At 45.9% G+C, this 20,908-nt stretch overlaps 1 protein-coding gene across 1 annotated transcript in view; it reads right to left on the bottom strand.

The window, feature by feature from the left end:
- The window catches only part of TBL1XR1 (TBL1X/Y related 1), a 182,457-nt gene extending 181,423 nt beyond the window's left edge, over nucleotides 1–1,034 (bottom strand). Inside the window, exon 1 of the mRNA XM_047448940.1 lies at nucleotides 973–1,034. The gene's annotated coding sequence lies outside the window, so the exon portion shown is untranslated. The remainder of the gene's footprint in view (nucleotides 1–972) is intronic.

Here is a 20,908-nt window from a genome sequence, read left to right on the forward strand (position 1 = left end):
AGGCTGAGGTGGGCAGATCACTTGAGGTCGGGAGTTCAAGACCAGCCTGGCCAACATGGTGAAACCTCGTCTGTACTAAAAATACAAAATATTAGTCGGGCGTGGTGGCGGGTGCCTGTAATCGCAGCTACTTGGGAGGCTGAGGCAGGAGAATCGCTTGAACCCTGGAGGCGGAGGTTGCAGTGAGCCGAGATAGTGCCACTGCACTCCAGCCTAGGCGACAGAGTGAGACTCCGTCTCAAAAAAAAAAAGTTCTCTCTTGAATTTTCTAGCTAATTACTCAATGAAGAGAAACCTCATACCAGTAACTGTTATCAGAAGTTACTATATATTGTAAAATGGCTAAACAAATCCTGACTTGTTTTGCCGGGTGCAGTGGCTCACACCTGTAATCCCAGCACTTTGGGAGGCCGAGGCGGGCGGATCACGAGGTCGGGAGTTCGAGACCAGCCTGACCAACATGGTGAAACCCCGTCTCTACTAAAAATTCAAAAATTAGCTGAGCGTGGTGGCACATGCCTGTAATCCTAGCTACTCAGGAGGCTGAGGCAGAAGAATGGCTTGAAACCGAGAGGGGGAGGTTGCAGTGAGCCGAGATCTTGCCATTGCACTCCAGCCTGGGCGGGTGACAGAGTGAGATTACATCTCAAAAAAAAAAAAAAAAAAAAAACAAATCCTGACTTGTTTTATTTCAGTAATATTTTTCCGAGAGGAGTGTGGCATGGCAAGATAGCCTACACATTTGCAACTTTCATCGCTAAAGACATGGAACATTTTAAATTGAAACTGCTTCAATCCCAGGACTACAGGGTCTCATTACTATATATATTTTTAAATCATCATGATGTTTTAAATTGTTTACATTAGCTCATCTACATAAAGTATTCAAAACAAACTTAATTGTATAAAAAAGACATTTGATACCAAAAATATTCTCCTAGTGCTATAACTCATTTTATATTCTTTACTCACCCTGGAATTCAGTGGCTTTACGTCTGTAGCGTTTACCCCCAGGCGTCTTGCTGATACTCTGTGATGTTTCCGTTTCATTTTGACTTACCTTGTGCAATTCTTTGTGGTTCTTCCGAGATGAGGCACATGCCAACCACACATCTCAAGATGTCAGTACACAAGCTGCTTTTCTCCTTCAGTGCATAGCGTGTTGCTTGTGACCTTTCCTCATCAGTGTGAACCTTGTCACAGTTTTCCATGCTTCTATGACCCAATTTCATTACAACAATAAACTTTACTTGAGAGTCTTCATTTAAATTGCAAAAGAAACATACAACTATCTTACAAGTATTTATGCCTCTCAGATAATGAAAATAGCAGGTTGTATCCTGCGATTGTGATTCAGTCAAAACAGAAAACCAACCACACACACAGCATGTTGCTGTACAATCACTTACTTATACTGACCAGCCACATACTTTCTCAGGGAAGCACTCAAGGCCTAGTATTATATTGATGGTTTTGCTATTCATTCAATGTTTATTGAATGTTTAGTGTGCCAGGCACTGTCTCAGTAAACCAAAAACAGCCCCTACTCTTCACAGGGCTTACATCCCACGTTGGGTGAGGGTTGGGAGTACACACAGACTTTCAAAAAATATGTCTGTATTAGGCTATTGTTTGACCACTGTTAAAAAAAAAAAAAGGAATATAAAAATGGCTTAAACAAGATGAAAGCGTATTATCTTATGTGACTGTCATTCTGGAGTAAGATGTCAAAGACCTAGATTGTTCTATCTCAACATATATCTTCCATCCACTGGTCTAAAATGGTTTTTCTTGCTCCTGCCATCATTTTCAAATTCCAGCCATTGGAAAAGAAAACAGAAGAAATAGAGGGCTAGGCCTTTCCTTTCAGGACACATCCTGGCAGTTGCATTTATCACTTCCTCTAATATTCCATTAACCAGTGCTTGGTCTTATGACCACACCTAGCTTCTAGGAAGGTAGGTAAAAGACAACCAAGCTTAAATAAAATAAAGTGGGATAATGGGTATATATGTTATTTTATTGTATTGTGTTTTAGGCAGAGTCTTTTTGTCACCCAGACTCTAGTGCAGTGGTATTTGTGTCCAAAATTGGTGGGTTCTTGGTCCCGCTGACTTCAAGAATGAAGTCGTGGACCCTCACGGTGAGTGTTACGGTTCTTAAAGGTGGTGTGTCCAGAGTTTGTTCCTTCTGATGTTCAGACATGTTTGGAGTTTTTTCCTTCTGGTGGGTTCGTGGTCTCCTTGGCCTCAGAAGTGAAGCTGCAGACCTTCGTGGTGAGTGTTACAGCTCATAAAGGTAGTGCAGACCCAAACAGTGAGCAGCAGCAAGATTTACTGCAAAGAGCTAAAGAACAAAGCTTCCACAGTATGGAAGGGGACCCAAACAGGTTGCCACTGCTGGCTCCGGCAGCCTACTTTTATTCCCTCATCTGGCCCCACCCATAGCCTGCTGATTGGTCCATTTTATAGAGAGCTGATTGGTCTGTTTTACAGAGCGCTGATTGGTCCGTTTTGACAGGGTGCTGATTGGTGTGTTTACAATCCCTGAGCTAGACACAAAAGTTCTCCAAGTCCCCACTAGATTAGCTAGACATGGAGCACTGATTGGTGCATTTACAAGCCTTGAGCTAGACACAGGGTGCTGATTGCTGTGTTTACAAACCTTGAGCTAGACACAGAGTGCTGATTGGTATATTTACAATCCTTTAGCTAGACATAAAGGTTCTCCAAGTCCCCACTAGATTAGCTAGATACAGAGTGCCAATTGGTTCATTTACAAACCTTGAGCTAGACACAGAGTGCTGATTGGTGTATTTACAATCCCTTAGCTAGACATAAAGGTTCTCCAAGTCCCCACTAGATTAGCTAGACATAGATCACTGATTGGTGCATTTACAAACCTTGAGCTAGACACAGGGTGCTGATTGGTGTGTTTACAAACCTCGAGCTAGACACAGAGTGCTGATTGGTGCATTTACAATCCTCCAGCTAGACATGAAAGTTCTCCAAGTCCCCATCTGACTCAGGAGCCCAGCTGGCTTCACCTAGTGGATCCAGTGCTGGGGCCGCGGGTGGCGCTGCCTGCCAGTCCCACGCTGCGTGCCTGCACTTCTCAGCCTTTGGGCAGTTGATGGGACCGGGCGCCGCAGAGCAGGGGGCGGCACCCGTCTTGGAGGCTTGGGCCACACGGGAGCCCATTGCTAGGGGGCTCAGGCATGGCGGGCTGCAGGTCTCGAGCCCTGCCCCACAGGGAGGCGGCTGAGCGCCGGTGAGAATTCAAGCATGGCGGGCCGGCAGTGCTGGGGTCCTGGCGCACCCTCTGCAGCTGCTGGCCCGGGTGCTAAACCTCTCACTGCCCAGGCCAGTGGCGCCGGCGGACGGCTCTGAGTGCGGGGCCGCCAAGCCCATGCCCACCCAGAACTCACGCTAGCCCGTGGCCCCGCCCACTTGGAACTCACGCTGGTCCACGAGCGCTGTGCACAGACAGCCCCGGTTCCCGCTCGTCCCTCTCTCTCTACAGCTCCCGGCAAGCAGAGGGAGCCGGCTCCGGCCTCAGCCAGCCCAGAGAGGGGCTCCCACAGTGCAGCAGCGGACTAAAGGGGTCCTCGAGCGTGGCCAGAGTGGGCGCGGAGGCCAAGGAGGCGCTGAGAGCGAGCGAGGGCTGCGAGGGCTGCCAGCACACTGTCACCTCTCAGTATGATCATAGCTCATTGTAAACTTAAACTCCTGGCCTCACTGACCCTCCCACCTCAGCTTCCCAAAGTGCTAGGATTACAGGCATGAGCCACCACATCCAGCCAGTATATATTATTTTAGATATGGGGTTTAGAGAAGGCTGCTCAGTTAAGATGACATGTGAGCAAAAAACTAAAGGAAGTAGCAGAGTGAGTATGCCACTATCAGAAAAAGGAATGTTCTGGGCAGAAGGAATATTATGTACAAAAGAATAATATAACAAATATGCTATATTCTAAGAATAAAAATGATGTCAGTTAATTGGCATGAAGTAAGAAAGGAGTGGCAGGAGACGGGGACAGGGACCAGATGTGAAGGACTTTTTTCTTCTCATGTCATAGAAAGACACCAGGAGGCGCCGGGCGCGGTGGCTCACGCCTATAATCCCAGCACTTTGAGAGGCCCAGACAGGCGGATCACGAGGTCAGGAGATGGAGACCATCCTGGCTAACACAGTGAAACCCTGTCTCTACTAAAAATAAAAAAAATTAGCCGGGCATGGTGGCGGGTGCCTGTAGTCCCAGCTACTTGGGAGGCTGAGGCAGGAGAATGGCGTGAACCCGGGAGGCGGAGCTTGCAGTGAGCCGAGATGGTGCCACTGCACTCCAGCATGGGTGACAGAGCGAGACTCCGTCCCAAAAAAAAAAAAAAAAAGAAAGCCACCAGGAGGCTTTGAGCAAAGAAGTGACTTGAACCACCTTCCATTTTAAAGGACCAGCGGAGGCTAGGTGTGGTGGCTCACGCCTGTAATCCCAACACTTTTAAAAGCTTAAGTGGGGGCCGTTCGAGGTGGCTCATGCCAGTAATAATCCCAGCACTTTGGGAGGCTAAGGCAGGTGATCACCTGAGATCAGGAGTTCGAGACCAGCCTGGCCAACATGGTGAAACCCCATCTCTACTAATAATACAAAAAAATTAGCTGGGCATCATGGCACACGTTTGTAACCCCAGCTACTCAGAAGGCTGAGGCAGGAGAATCACCTGAAGCCGGGAGGCAGAAGTTGCAGTGAGCCGAGATCACGCCATTGCACTCCAGCCTGGGTGACAAGAGCGAAACTCCATCTCAAAAACAAAAACAACAAAAAAATTATTCCAAGATTTTAGACCAAACAAGTAGAAGAATGGAGTTGCCATTTACTGAGATGGGAACGGCTAGAAGAAGACCTAGTTTATGAGGGAACTATCAAGAGTTCTGTTTTAGCATTTGGTGTGCCTATTATACATCCTCATGATGATGTTGAATAGGTAGCCAGATATATAAATCTGATGTTCAGAGGTGCAACTGGAACTGGAGATATAACTTTGAGACTCATAGTAAAGCAATGATATTTGAAATCATGGACCTAGATGCAATCACCTAGAGAGTAAATATAAGTAAAAAAGCATTGAGTTCTCTGTCACCTCAATTGTCTCCTACCTCAAATGTTTTCTTTCCAATGCTCTTCTGCTCTTGATGTAGTGAAAAGCCTAAACATATGAAATCATGGGTCAGCATTAGGTGACTTTTTCTAACCATAAGGATATTGATGGAAACCATAGATAATGTTAATTGCTACCATTTATTAAGCATGTTATCAACTCTTTTCAAGGTATGTTAACATGTAATTGTCTCTGATTTTCTCAACAACCTGAAAAGGTAATGCCTCAGTCAATTTGGACTGCTATAACAAAAATACCATAGACTCGGTGGCTTAAACAACAAACACTTGGCCGGGCGCGGTGGCTTACATCTGTAATCCCAGCACTTTGGGAGGCTGAGGCGGACAGATCACCTGAGGTCAGGAGTTTGAGACCAGCCTGGCCAACATGGCGAAACCCCATCTCTACTAAAAATACGAAAATCAGCTGGGTGTGGTGGCGCATGCCCGTAATCCCAGCTACTCGGGAGGCTGAGGCAGGAGAACCAATGAGCCGAGATTGCGCCATTGCACTCTAGCCTGGGCAACAAGAGCAAAACTCCGTCTCAAACAAACAAACAAACAAAACACTTATTTCTTACAGTTCTGGAATTTGGGAAGTCTGATAGCAAAGTGCCAGCATGATCAAGTTATGGTGAGGGCCTCTTCCTGGGTGCTGCTGACCATCTTCTTGCTGTGTGTAAGTGGTGTAAAACAGTAAGACAGGAAGCAAGCTCTCTCCTGTCTCTTGTTACAAGATTACTAATCCCATCATGTAGGCTGTGACCTAATTACCTTCTGAAGGCCCCACCTCCTAATACCATACCATTTAGGGCTAGTGTTTCCATATATGAATTCTGGAGAAACACAAACATGTTGTCCATAACAGGTAAATAATATTATTATCTCTATTTGATTTATGAAGAAACTGAAGTAATAAGACCATATAGTTTGTCTAAGGTCATGCTGCAAATGGCAAAACAAGGATTTGAACTCAAGGCCAAGTGCAGTATCTGCTTTTCCAATGAATAAAACTAAGCAGATCAAGGCAGGAAAATTCAAGTGTTTGCTAAAAAGTACTTCAGTGAATGAGAAGAGCAGAGAAATGCAAAGTGGAAAAAAGGAGAAACTGCTTGAGGAGAAGAACCACATCTTAATCACATTTATGTGACCCACATATTTTAGGCTAGAATCTAGAAAAATGTTTGCTGAATGCAGGCGTAATTACGATCAATCTGTTGGATTCCATCTGTTGCATGCTTTGGTACTGTTAGTGTATCTACTGATTACAAAAGGAAGACCTTTGTCTCACTCACTCCCTACCCCTCTCACCATCCACCATCACCACCCGTGCTGCCTCATGGCAATTTAGGTATAGGGTGTTCTTTTTTTTTTTTTTGAGATGGAGTTTCGCTCTTGTCACCCAGGATGGAGTGCAGTGGCATGATCTCGGCTCACTGCAACCTCCGACCCCTGGGTTCAAGCAAGTCTCCTACCTCAGCCTCCTGAGTAGCTGAGATTACAGATGCCCACCACCACACCCAGCTAATATTTGTATTTTAGTAGAGAAGAGATTTCACCATGTTGGCCAGGCTGGTCTCAAACTCCTGACCTCAGGTGATCCACCCGCCTCAGCCTCCCAACATGCTGGGATTACAGGGGTGAGCCACTGTGCCCGGCCCGGGTATAGGATATTCTGTGTGTGTGGGCGGGTTGGGGTTGGGGGGAGTCTCACTCTGTCGCCCAGGCTGGAGTACAGTGGCATTATCTCGCATCACTGCAACTTCAACCTTCTGGGTTCAAGCGATTCTCCTGCCTCAGCCTCCTGAGTAGCTGGGACTATAGGCACACACCATCACCCCCGGCTAATTTTTTTGTATTTTTGGTAGAGACAGGGTTTCACCATGTTGGCCAGGCTGGTCTTGAACTCCTGACCTCAGGTGATCCACCCACCTCGGCCTCCCAAAGTGCTGGGATTACAGGTGTGAGCCACTGCACCCGGCCAGTATAGGGTATTCTTGAAGACAGGTTTTGTGGGCAAAGAAGACAATGTATAGTAATTCCATTTCATTTATTACAAATTTGAAAACCTACTTTTCCTTTGAGCTTTGAAATTCAGGTTACAAATCTAACTCTGTTTTTTAAGAGAATGTTTACAATTTGGTTAATTAAATTTCCTTGAATTATTAAACTACATTAATTCATTTAATGTATTCAGTCTTTTTAAAATACTTCAGTTGCTCAACAAAGAATCACAAGTAGTTAAGTAATGCTTATAAATATGATAAATTATAAAATATGAATCAAGTTCTCTTGAACATTACAAAAATGTTTACAGATTTAATAAAATTCTCATATATTTTCACTTAAAATCATGAATCTGAATTAATTACAGTTTTCACTTAGGTGTTTTAAACTGGTTTCACAAGGATAACTTGTTAGAAATCCTAAAATGTCGAATTACGTAAAAGATTACAAATAGTTAAAATACCAAATACAAATATGCACAAGTATTTCTAAACATAAATGAAAACAATAGTGGCCACACACAGTGACTCACGCCTATAATCCTAGCACTTTGAGAGGCCAAGGCGGGCAGATCACTTGAGGCCAGGAGTTCAAGACCAGCCTGGGCAACATGGCGAAATCCCATCTCTACAAAAAAATACTAAAATTAACTGGCTGTGGTGGTGCATGCCTGTAGTCCCAGCTACCGGGGAGCCTGAGGTGGGAGGTTCGCCGGAGCTGGGAGGTGGAGGTTGTAGTGAGCCATGTTTGCGCCACTGCACTCCAGCCTGGCTGCAGAGAGACCCTGTTTCACAAATAAACAAATGAATAAGTAAATACAATAAGACGATGGGTTTGATTTGTTTTATCGCTTTGACTTTATGCTCTCCTAAGGCTAAAAAAAACCTAATGCCTTAAATAAACAATTCTACTGGCCCAGGTGAGCTGAGTTGCTGTCTTAGTCAGTTGGGAGTGCTATCACAAAATACATAAACTAGGTGACTTCTACACAACAGAAATTTATTTCTTCTAGTTCTGGAGGCTGTGAGGTCAAAGATCAAGGCACTGGCAGATTCGGTGTCTGGTCAGGGCCTACTTCCTGGTTAATAGATGGCACCTTTCTGCTGTGTCCTCACATGATAAAAGGGGCAAACACACTCCCTCGTGCCTCTTTTATGAAGGCACTAATCACATTCATGAGAGCTCCCAAAAGAGCTCCAAGTCTTAATATCGTCACCTTGGGGATTAGTATTTCAACATATGGATTTTGGGAGGCCACACACATTCAGATTATAGCAGACACCTCTCCAGTGGACTGAGTAGCTTATTGACCTGAGTGGTTCTGGCTGGAGATGCAGACATCAGGGCGGTTTTTCTCAAAGCTGCTAAGATGTGCTGAACACTCCTTATGCCAGCCAATGGGAACACTAAGGTCCTGCCTTCAAATGGGATGGTCTTGCTACAATTCAAGTCCACAGATTCAGGTTGCACCACTTGGAAATGATATGAACTTGCACCCCTCCTACCAGATTGCTGAGACACATGACTGAGCTCAATTTGTATAGTACTCCGTTTTAGCCTGAATCTTTGAATTGTTTTCCTCCTGATGGTGCTTCAATTCATATAGAAATTAACTGTATATTGCTCATGTTTGTGGCTGGCTCTGTAGTTCCAACCACCCCCACCCCACCCCCAATATTGTTATAGCTACTAGAAAGTAAGCCAAATGCACTTTCTGAGATTGTCCCAAATATCTGTTGGTCAGGTAACAGCCATTATAACAACTATCATTTCCTTATGTCAGCATTTCCCAAACTGTATTCCGCTCATAATGGGCACGTAGTCTGTGCTTCTGGAAGTAAAGAGTTCCAACATTAAGGATGTTTGGGAAATGTGACGTTTTTATTTTCCTTGTTGTTGTTGTTTTTTGGGACAAAGTTTTCCTCTTGTCACCCAGGCTGGCCTGCAGTGGTGCGATATTGGCTCACTGCAACCTCCGCCTCCTGGGTTCAAGCAATTCTCCTGCCTCAGCCTCCTGTGTAGCTGAGATTACAGGCCACAACACCCAGGGATTGTGCACCACGACATCCTGCTAATAAATGTTAAATTCACCTTCTAGAGGTCTGCATTGCTTTTTAGCATATAAAATACTGAAAAATCTTGCATTGTAAAAATCTTATCAGCCATGAGGCTGTGGCGGGAGAATCGCTTGAACTCTGGAGGGGGTGGTTGCAGTGAGCTGAGATCGCGCCATTGCACTCCAGCCTGGTCAACAAGAGTGAAACTCCGTCTCAAAAAAAATAAAAAAATAAAAACAATCTTATCAGCCTATTGAACACTTCTTAAAGACATAACTTTTGGCCAGGCGCGGTGGCTCATGCCTGTAATCCCAGCACTTTGAGAGGCCGAGGTGGGTGGATCACCTGAGGTCAGGAGTTCGAGACCAACCTGACCAACCTGGCAAAACCCCGTCTCTACTGAAAAATACAAAACTTAGCTGGGCACGGTGGCAGGCGCCTGTGATCCCAGCTACTCGGGAGGCTGAGACATGAGAATAGCTTGAACCCAGGAGGCGGAGGTTGCAGTGAGCTGAATCGCGCCACTGCACTCCAGCCTGGGCAACAGAGTGAGACTCTGTCTCAAAAAAAATAAAAGACATACCTTTCAAGATCATGCAAAGTTTGCTTTCTGTGGAACACAGTTTGGTAAATTGTGTCTCTATTTGGTAAAATGTTTTTATTTTATTGCTTGATCTTTTGTTTTTAATTTTTTGTAAGATCAAAGCTTGGATATGCAACCAAATGGACTTTTTTTTTTTTTGGTTTTGAGAAAGGGTCTCATTCTATAACTCGGGATGGAACTCAGTGCCGTGATCTCGGCTCACTGCAACCTCTGCCTTCTGGGCTCAAGCAACTCTCCCACTTCAGCCTCCCAAGTAGCTGGGACTACAGGCATGCACCATCACACTCATGTAATTTTTGTATTTTTTTGTAGAGATGGGATCTTGCTATGTTGCCCAGGCTGGTCTCGAACTCCTGTGCTCAAACGATCTCCCCACCTCGGCCCCTTAAACTGCTGGAATTACAGACATGAGCCACCATGCCCAGCTGGACTTTCTGGTAGTTCCCTCCCACTAAACTTGTCCTACCTAGCCATAGGCAGCCCTTCCCTCCCAGGGAAACTGCTTATCAAGGGGCAGAGGACAAGAGAAAGTATGTGTCCTGAGGCAAGGCTCCTTCAAAAAGAGAGGGAAAGTCGCTGAGCACTTGTACTCACTCACGTCCTTCCTATAATCTTGTAAATCACTTGTTCTCTGAGGAAAGGGGGAACCTGCAAAGACTACAGAAAGCTCCTCCTAGGGCATAAGAGCTTTCTCTTTGCTATGGTTTGAATATGGTTTGTCCACACCAGAACTGATGTTTATAAATTTGATCCACAATGGGTTGCGTTGGGAGGTGGTGTCTAGTGGGAGGTGCTTGGCTCTTGGGGGTGGATTCCTCATGAATGGCTCTGTGTTGTTCTCTGGGCCGTGAGTGAGTTTTTGCTCTCTCGAGACTGGTTTAGTTCTTGGGGGAATGGATTAGTTCTCACTAATAAAAGAACAGGTTTTTATAGAGAAAGATGTCCGTCAGGGTTTTACTTCTTCCCCTGTGTCCACTTCCCTTTGACCTTTCTCCACGTTATGATGCAGCATGAAAGCCCTCAACAGCAGATGCTGGCACCATGCTTCTTGAATTTCCCAGCCTGCAGAATCCTGAGCTAAATTAACCTCTTTTCTTTATAAATTACCCAGTTTCCGGTGTTCTGTTACAGCAACACAAAACAAGTACACTCCCCTTTATAGATAGCCTTCTAATATTGTGAGTCTTCATTGAGCAACAAACTAGGAAGACAGTGCGTGCCAGTACTGAGTTAATTATTGCCACTGAACAAAACAAACTTTATTTTATGCATATTTAGCAATAGGTGTAACAGCCACAGGGATAGATTATAGGCCAGAGAAACTGGGTTTTAGACACAGCTCTACCTTCACTGTTGTATGTTCTCAGACAGGCATCAAATGGCTGAGAAACGCAGTTTCCTTACTGATAAAATTGGCCCCACATTAACAACAAATTTCCAGAGTGGATAGTCAAAATACTTATTGACCAGTTCTATATGCCTTGCAACCAATCAGAACAGAGAGCAGAGGGTACACCACACCCAACCATACAGCAAATTGGCAGCCTCCCAGTTCATTTCCCTCACTCAGTCAACATTTGCAGTTGCCTGCCATGTGACGTCTATGTACCGGGGCTGTTGCATGTGTCAAATTAAATGTTTGTGAAAGCAGATCATAACCTCCATACAAAAGCAAGGTGTTTTTAGTCATTATTCTCTGTAGGAAGACACAAAGAGTAAGGGAAGTGGAAGCCTCTCATAACATTTCACCTGTTTCAGTTTTGCCTACCCTATTGGGTGGCCTGGCCTCAGTTTGAGAGCTCACCTCCCCTTGAGCTATATAACAGCCTAAGGACATGGAGAGCTGGGCCAAGACCAGCCAGGATACAGCTTAACCTCAAACCCTCAAACAATAGTGAGAGCTAGCACTGTCTTGAGTACTTACTATGTGTTAGGCCTTGTTCAAAATAATTTCATGCAGATTAACTCATGTAAACCTCACCACAGCCTGAAGTAGGGACTGTTTTTTTTTGTTTTTTTGTTTTTTTTTGAGACAGAGTTTTGCTCTTGTTGCCCAGGCTGGAGTACAATGACGCGATCTCGGCTCACCACAACCTCTGCCTCCCAGGTGCAAGCAATTCTCCTGCCTCAGCCTCCCGAGTAGCTGGGATTACAGGTATGCACCACCACGCCCAGCTAATTTCATATTTTTAGTACAGACAGGGGTTTCTCCGTGTTGGTCAGGCTGGTCTCGAACTCTCGACCTCAGGTGACTCGCCCACCTCAGCCTCCCAAAGTGCAGGGATTACAGGCGTGAGCCACTGCACCAGGCCATGAAGTAAGGACTACTATTATCTCCTTTCCACAGATGAGGAAACCCAACACACATGGATTAAACGACCAAGGTTCCTTAGCTAGTAAATGTCAGAGGTGGATTTTTATCTAGGTAGATGAGGTCATGCCTTTAACTACCACTCTATACTACAAACAGATCCAAGCCTGGCAAGGGAGAAAGAAAACTGTTGAAGGGCTGGCATCCAGAGAGCATTATGGGTCACGAAGGTGAGCCCAGAGTTCTTATAAATCCTCTCTTAGGACCATAGGTGTCATAACCCAAAGGGGTTAACCCAAGGAGCAGACCTCTCCAGTGCTTTTGCAGAGGGTACACAAGAGTGTCCAGAAGCCCCTGGTTGATGGGAACCCCTTCCCCTAGGCGCTGAGAACTGGAATACCCACTGCCTGGGTGGCTGGGGAAGGGCATCTCTGTTCCCTGGCCCCTTAGTCAGGGGAAAGTGAGGAGGGGAAAAGGAGAAGAACCAGAACAGCGGCTCCTCTCTCTAGTTGGGAAAAAGCAGTCAATTCAATGGGTTTGCCTTTGGGTAGGAGGATTAACTCTAATTATGGAGTATATAAACCAGGAGCTGAGGGCTGGGGCGGGCTCCTTTCTAGAGAGCATGAAGAAGGGTTAAAGAGGAGTAAGGCAGAGAAAGGGAGGTGTGAGGGCTCAGAAGCTGGCGCCAGCAAACTTTTACTGTAAAGGGCCAGATGGTAACTATTTGAAGCTCTGTAGGCCACGTTCTCTGTTGTCTCCCTCTTCCCCCTCCCCCAACCATTTAAAAACGTATGAATTATTCGGAGCTCTGGCTTCAGTTGGATTTGGCCTATGGGTTCGAGTTACTGATTTTCTAACCTGAAGAAATAATCTGTCAACCTCCCCATTTTACCTGAGTCTGATCCTGCCCTCCCTTGCAGTGCTGGCCATTTAACTTGAAGTAGGGCCTCCCAAGCAATGAGAGAGGCATTCAGATGAGGAAAGGGGCATAACGTTCTGACTGTGGTGAGGCTTCATGAAATTTCAGGTATGTTCCACTGAGGTACTTTAGGACTAACACTGTTTGGCGACCTGAAGGTTTGCTCTGGGGATTTTTATGCCACACATAGCTGCATGCATGAGCAACTCTGCAAGAATTATGTTTCATGCCACATTCCATTTGGGAACTTATGCCCAAGACAATATTGCAGAGCAATGAAACCCAGCATTACTGTATTCCAGGAAAATGGAGTAGCAACCTTTCTCTCTTAGTAGCCAAAAATGGAATATCTCAATGTCTTCAGGAAGAGCTTGCCCTCAGTAAGAAGAGTTTTACCTGTTGGTAAACCTGACTCTCAGATAAAATGCCATCTTTACAGAGCCTGGCTTTGCAATAAGAATACACAGTTGTAAAACCGGGCGTGGTGGCTCACTTCTGTAATCTCAGTACTTTGGGAGGTCAGGCGGGCGGATCACCTGAGGTCAGGAGTTCAAGACCAGCCTGGCCAAAGTCTTCTCTTCCTACCTTAAATTTGAGCTACTAAGCGCTAAAGCTATTCTTAAATAACAAAAAGAAATGGCTTGAAGGCCAGGAGGTGAGAGGAAGGGAGGGAACTTATAAAACACTTCTTTACCTAAGAATTGATAGAAAGCCATGACTTCCAAATACTTATTAGAACTTTGCAATACATTTAGGCTGGGTGCAGTGGCTCATGCCTATAATCCCAGCACTTTGGGAGGCTGAGGTGGGTGGATCACCTGAGGTCAGGAGTTCAAGACCTGCCTGACCAACATGGAGAAACCCCGTCTCTACTAAAAATACAAAAATTAGCCCAGCATGGTGGCGCACGCCTGTAATCCCATAATCCCAGCTACTTGGGAGGCCGAGGCAGGAGAATCACTTGAACCCGGGAGGGAGAGGTTGCTGTGAGCCGATATTGACCATTGCACCCTAGCCTGGGCAACAAGAGCAAAACTCTCTCAAAAAAAAAAAAAAAAAGAACTTTACAATACATTTAATGTGAGTTAACGTGTCAGGCTACTTGTAATGGAATACAGGGGAAGGTTATTGGTGTAAGGCAAAGGACAAAAGAGTGTTCTTTTTTTTTTTTGACACAGAGTTTCACTCTTGTTGCCCAGGCTGGAGTGCAACAGTGCGATCTCGGCTCACTGCAACCTCCGCCTCCCGGGTTCAAGCGATTCTCCTGCCTCAGCCTCCCGAGTAGCTGGGATTACAGGTATGTGCCACCACGCCCGGCTAGTTTTGTATTTTTAGTAGAGACGGGGTTTCTCCATGTTGGTCAGGCTGGTCTCAAACTCCTGACCTCAGGTGATCTGCCTGCCTCGGCCTCCCAAAGTGCTGGGATTACAGGCATGAGCCACCGCGCTCAGTCAACAAAAGAGTTTTCAACAGGAACATGATATTTGGGAAGAAAAAATAAGAGGGGAGACGGGCTGAGAAAAGCTGCAAGTGGGGAAGCTTTGGTCCCCATGGCCTAGAGGCCTGAAGTGGGCCACTGGCCAGGCAGAAAAGGCGTGGAAACGATTTCACCTGTTTCACAATTGTCTAGAGCCGGCCTGAAGGCATCTTGGGGAAGCACCCACTGAGCTCACTGCACTGGCCCTTTCCTGGGGAAGCTCAGGGAGAGCTCCCTGATAAGGGCTCCTGTGTCGAACAAGGTATGTGACTTCAAAAGGTAGTAAGAGAGTTGTCCCACAATAAATTTTAGTATTATGTTCTGTGGAGGTTGTAAATTATAAATAATTTTCTACTTTTAGTAGTCTAGGTAAGTAAATACCTGGAAGCTTTGACATGAATTTCATCTTAGAGATCTTTTTAAATTCTATGAATTGATTAAAATATGCATATTTGCAAATTAGACCTAGGAACAGTATCTGTCATCTCCAAAACCTCCTAACTACTCTCCTACCTACTTGCTGGCTTTTCTCCAAAACATTTGCACAAAACAACTTTTAGAAACCTCCAGTGCTGGCCAGGCATGGTGGCTCATGTCTGTAATCCCAGCACTTTGGGATGTCAAGGTGGGTGGATCACCGGAGCTCAGGAGTTCGAGACCAGCCTGGCCAATATGGCGAAACCCTGTCTATACTAAAATTAAAAAAAAAAATTAGCCAGGCATGGTGGCGGGCACCTGTATTCCCAGCTACTTGGGAGGCTTAGGCAGGAGAATTGCTTGAACCCTCGAGGTGGAGGTTGTGGTGAGACAAGATCACACCACTGCACTCGGCAACAAGAGCAAGAATCCATCTCAGAAAAAAACAAACAAGCAAACAAAAAAAACCCTCCAATGCCTTGCCAGGCAGGGTGGCTCATGCCTGTAATCCTAGCACTTTGGGAGGTTGAGATGGGCAGATCCCTTGACTCTAGGATTTCCAGACCAGCCTGGGCAACATGGTGAAACCCCATCTCTATAAAAAATACAAAAATTAGGCCGGGTCCGGTGGCTCACGCCTGTAATTCCAGCACTTTGGGAGAATGAGGTGGGTAGATCACGAGGTCAGGAGTTCGAGACCAGCCTGACCAACGTGGTGAAACCCTGTCTCTACTAAAAATACAAAAATTAGCCGGGCATGTTGGCGCATGCCTGTAGCCCCAGCTACTCGGGAGGCTGAGGCTAGAGAATCACTTGAACCCGGGAAACAGAGGTTGCAATGAGCTCAGATCACATCACTGCACTCCAATCTGGGTGACAGAGTGAGAAACAAAACAAAACAAACCCCACAAAAATTAGCCCAGTATGGTGGTAGATGCCTGTAGTCCCAGCTACTTGGGAGGCTGAGGTGACAGGATGGCTTGGGCCCAGGAGGTCGAGGCTGCAGTGAGCCGTGATAGAGCCACTGCAGTCTTACCTGGGCAAAAGAGAGAAACCCTGTCTCAAAAGGGAAAAAAAGATAGAGTTTTAAGATAATAATTTTATATATATATATATATATATATATATATATATATATATGGTTTTTTTTTTTGAGACGCAGTCTTGCTCTATCGCCCAGGCTGGAGTGCAGTGGTACAATCTTGGCTCACTGCAACCTCCGCCTCCTGGGTTCAAGCGATTCTCCTGCCTTAGCCTCCCGAGTAGCCGGGACTACAGGTGCTCGCCACCACATCAAGCTAATTTTTGAAATTTTTTTTTTTTTTTTTTTTTTGAGACAGAGTCTTGCTCTGTCGCCCAGGCTGGAGTGCAGTGGCACAATCTCTGCTCACTGCAACCACCGCCTCCCGGGTTCAAGCAATTCTCCTGTCTCAGCCTCCCCAGCAGCTGGGACTACAGGTGTCTGCCACCACGCCCAGCTATTTTTTGTATTTTTAGTAGAGACGGGGTTTCACCATATTGGTCAGGCTGGTCTCGAACTCCTGACCTCAGGTGATCCACCTGCCTCAGCCTCCCAAAGTGCTGGGATTACAGGCGTGAGCCACTGCACCCGGCTGTATTTTTTTTTTTTTTTTACTAGAGAAGGGGTTTCACCATATTGGCCAGGCTGGTCTCAAACTCCTGACCTTGTGATCCACTCGCCTCGGCCTCCCAAAGTGCTGGGATTACAGGTGGGAGCCACCAGGCCCAGCCCAAGATAAAAATAATATTTTAAAGAGCTTTTAAGCTGAAAGCAGAGCATTTATTTGCCAGGGGTATGAGTTCTACCATTGGGTGTAGCTTGGTAGAAACGTTGAGAAGTGCTTTAAAAAGAGGATTATAAAACACATCCTAAATATGGAAGGATTCCTTTTTTTTTTTCTTTTGAGACAGAGTCTCTATCACTGAGGCTGGAGTGCAGTGGCATTGTGTCAGCTCACTGCAACCTCTGTCTTCTGAGTTCAAGCAATTCTCCTGCCTCAGCCTCCCAAGTAGCTGGGATTACAGGTGCCCACCACCGCACCCAGCTAGTTTTTATATTTTAGTAGAGACGGGGTTTCACCATGTTGGCCAGGTTGGTCTTGAACTCCTGACCTCAGGTGATCCACCCACCTTGGCCTCCCAAAGTCCTGAGCCACCATGCCTGGCCTTTTTTTTTTTTTTTTTTTTTTTTTTTTTTTTGGACAAGCTCTTGCTTTGTTGCCCAGGCTGGAGTGCAGTTGCAAAATCTCGGCTCACTGCGACCTCCACCTCCCAGGTTCAAGCAATTCTCCTGCCTCAGCCTTCTGAGTAGCTGGGACTATAGGCGGGCACCACCACGCCCAGCTAGTTTTGTATTTTTAGTAGAGGCGGGGTTTGTCTATATTGGCCAGGCTGGTCTCGAACACCTAACCTCAAGCGATCCGCCGGCCTTGGCCTCCCAAAGTGTTTGGATTACAGGTGTGAGCCACTGTGCCCGGCCTAGGGTTCCTTTTACTATAATTCTTTTTATTTTAATTTTATTTTTATTATTTATTTATTTATTTTGAGACGGAGTCTCACTCTGTCACCAGGCTGGAGTGCAGTGGCGCAATCTCGGCTCACTGCAGCCTCCGCCTCCCGGGTTCAAGCGATTCTCCTGCCTCATCCTCCCAAGTAGCTGGAGCTACAGGCGCACGCCACCACACCCAGCTAATTTTTGTATTTTTAGTAGAGACGGGGTTTCACCATGTTGGCCAGGATGGTCTTGATCTCTTGACCTTGTGATCCACCTGCCTCGGCCTTTCAAAGTGCTGGGATTACAGGCGTGAGCCACTGCACCCGGCCTATGATGATTTTTTTATTTTTTTATTTTATTTTTTTTTTTTGAGACGGAGTCTCCCTCTTTCACCCGGGCCGGACTGCAGGGGCGTGATCTCGGCTCACTGCAAGCTCCGCCTCCCGGGTTCACGTCATTCTCCTGCCTCAGCCCCCCGAGTAGCTGGGACTACAGGCGCCCGCCACCTGAGCCCGGCTAATTGTATTTTTAGTAGAGACGGGGTTTCACCGTGTTAGCCAGGATAGTCTCGATCTCCTGACCTCGTGATCCGCCTGCCTCGGCCTCCCAAAGTGCTGGGATTACAGGCGTGAGCCACCGCGCCCGGCCTGATGATTTTTTAAAATGTGAGATTAGAATATTAGTAATAAGTAAGATCCATCTCCGCACCCTAGCAATTTCTTTAGCCTAAATTAACACGTGGTAAAACATTGTTTTCTTTTCTTTCTTTTTTGTCTTTTTTTTCTTGAGACAGAGTCTCACTGTGTCACTCAGGCTGGAGTGCAGAGGCGCAATCATGGCTCACTGCAGCCTCTACCTCCCCAGGCTCAGGTGATCCTCCCACCTCAGCCTCCCAAATAGCTGGGACTACAGGTGCATGCCACCAAGCCTGGTGAATTTTTTTTTTTTTTTTTTTTTTTGTAGAGGCAGAGTTTCTCCATGTTGCCAAGGTTGGTCTCAAACTCCTGAGCTCAAGTGATCTTCCTGCCTTGGCCTCCCAAAGTGCTGGAATTAGAGGTGTGAGCCCCTGTACCTGGTCAAAACATTGTTTTGTACAGTGAATAGTCTTGACTTAAAAATATATATACCTATATTCTGGATTTATAGAGGAAATATTTGAGCTAGTGAAGTGTTAAGGAAAGTCCAGTACTGTATTGGCAGAGAGAGGTCAGGCTTGCATTTGATAAACACCTCAAATGAGCTTCATTTGATCTAAACGAGGCACATAATAGCGTATAAGCAAATGTTAACAAAAGGTCCACTATAACCAAAAAGTTTAATAAATCATATTTTATTACTTTTCACAGAAATATGCCAGAGAAATTTGAAAATTTATTTGCCAAGAAAAGTAGGAATAGTATTTAGGGCTCTGGCCAGCTTTGGATTTGAATTCAAGTTTTTGACCTAAAAGCTTCTCAAAACTTGTGTTTTGCCGGGCATAGTGGCTCATGCCTGTAATCCCAGCACTTTGGGAGGCCAAGGCAGGCAGATCACCTGAGGTCAGGAGTTTGAGAGCAGCCTGGCCAACATGGTGAAACCCCATCTCTGCTAAAAATACAAAAATTAGCTTGGCATGGTGGTGGGTGCCTGTAATCCCAGCTACATGGGAAGCTGAGGCCGGAGAATTGCCTGGGAGGCAGAGGTTGCAGTGAACTGAAATCGTGCCGACTGTACTCCAGCCTGGGCAACAGAGTGACACTCCTTCTCAAAAAAACAAACAAACAGAAAACTCTTGTGTTTTAAAGAAAATGCTGATATCTGGAATAGATACTAATCAACAGTACACACACACACACACACACACACATACACACAGGAGGGAGAAAAATAAAAATGTAGGATACAGGTTAGGGATTCATTTCTTTTATGTGGAGAGTGTTTTCTTCAACCATAGTTTTGTGATTCAGCATTCATAAAATAAATCGTTTACAATTTGGGCGAAATAACATCAGGTTCCTGCAGGGCTATAGAAAATGACTTGTGGGGGCTAATATGAAATAAGGGTTGAAACAGTACACAGCCTTTGTTCTATTCCAAGGGGTTGACAGTCTTTAGAAGGTTCACGAACCACTGTTTATGACTCACTCGCTTCCACCTACACTTCCTCTCCACGTTCTTCACATCACTAGGGCTTGTTGTATTATCCTAGTTTTTGAAATCCATTGCTTCCCACAGTTCTCCAATCAAATGCCTTCTCTGTGGGGACCTCGAGAAAGATACACTAAGGTATGGTGAACCAGGTCATTCTTCACCCAAAATGACCTAGTTCTCCTAAGTGACTAATTTCTTGGTCGTCACTGAGGTACCAATCCCTTCTGCTGGCCTTGTGTGCCCGATCCTCCCCTGCTCTCAGTTACCTCAAAGCAAGCTTCCAGCTTGTTGCAGGCTGTTTTCTCTCCTCCAAACAATCAGGGCCTAACAGGATTTGAAACTTGTTTTGGTTGTTCCCAATCTAAATATTTCCTCAAATCTATCCAGCAGTACTTACTCCATCCAGTTACATTTCATCCTAAGCCCCTAGTAGGGAGGCCGGGCCACCTTCCTGCCTTCCTTCTGCCTAGATTCCCTGATCACAGCATTCCTGTTGCCCTTCCATTCAGGAAGGACATGGACAGAGGGTGGTCAGAAGCCCTGTCCTATATCCTAACCAGAGGGCTGAAGCCTACCTCTGAACTGGATCCTGCCAACCTATTTTCCTGGAGGCAGAACTCTGTGTCACCTCTTCCAGTGCAGATAACTGAACAGTCCTACTTTCTCTGGCCTGTACTTCCCCACTTATTCTCCCTGCACCTGGCCTTCCCCCTTCCTCTTCTAGACTTTCCCTGAATTTGTAGTTCCTCTGTTTGAGCCTCAGGTCTGATTTTCAGCCCTAATCAGAATCCCTTGTCTGTGTCTGCTTTGACCAGAGAGGTTGCAAGTTTCCTACTAACCCTTCCTTCATTCACGTCCTGTCATTCTGGCTAACAAAAATTAGCTGGGTGTGGGGGTGCACGCCAGCCAAGCTTCTTGACACACATGTACATGCTCGTGTGTGCACACTCCTGCACGTGCACCCTTACAGAGGAAGTATTCAGATCGCTTTTTGCACAGCTAGGGTATGCAGATTCCTCTTTTTTTTTTTTTGAGACGGAGTTTTGCTCTTGCCCAGGCTGGAGTGCAATGGCACGATCTTGGCTCACTGCAACCTCCGCCTCCCGGGTTCAAGCGATTCTCCTGCCTCAACCTCCTGAGTAGCTGGGATTACAGGTGCCCACCACCACTCCCGGCTAATTTTTTTGTATTTTTAGTAGAGATGGGGTTTCACCATGTTGGCCAGGCTGATCTTGAACTCCTGATCTCAGGTGATCCACCCACCTTGGCCTCCCAAAGTGCTGGGATTACAGGTGTGAGCCACTGCTTCTGGCCTT

Source organism: Homo sapiens, chromosome 3 (assembly GCF_000001405.40).
Source record: "Homo sapiens chromosome 3, GRCh38.p14 Primary Assembly".
Taxonomy (NCBI): Eukaryota; Metazoa; Chordata; class Mammalia; order Primates; family Hominidae; genus Homo; species Homo sapiens.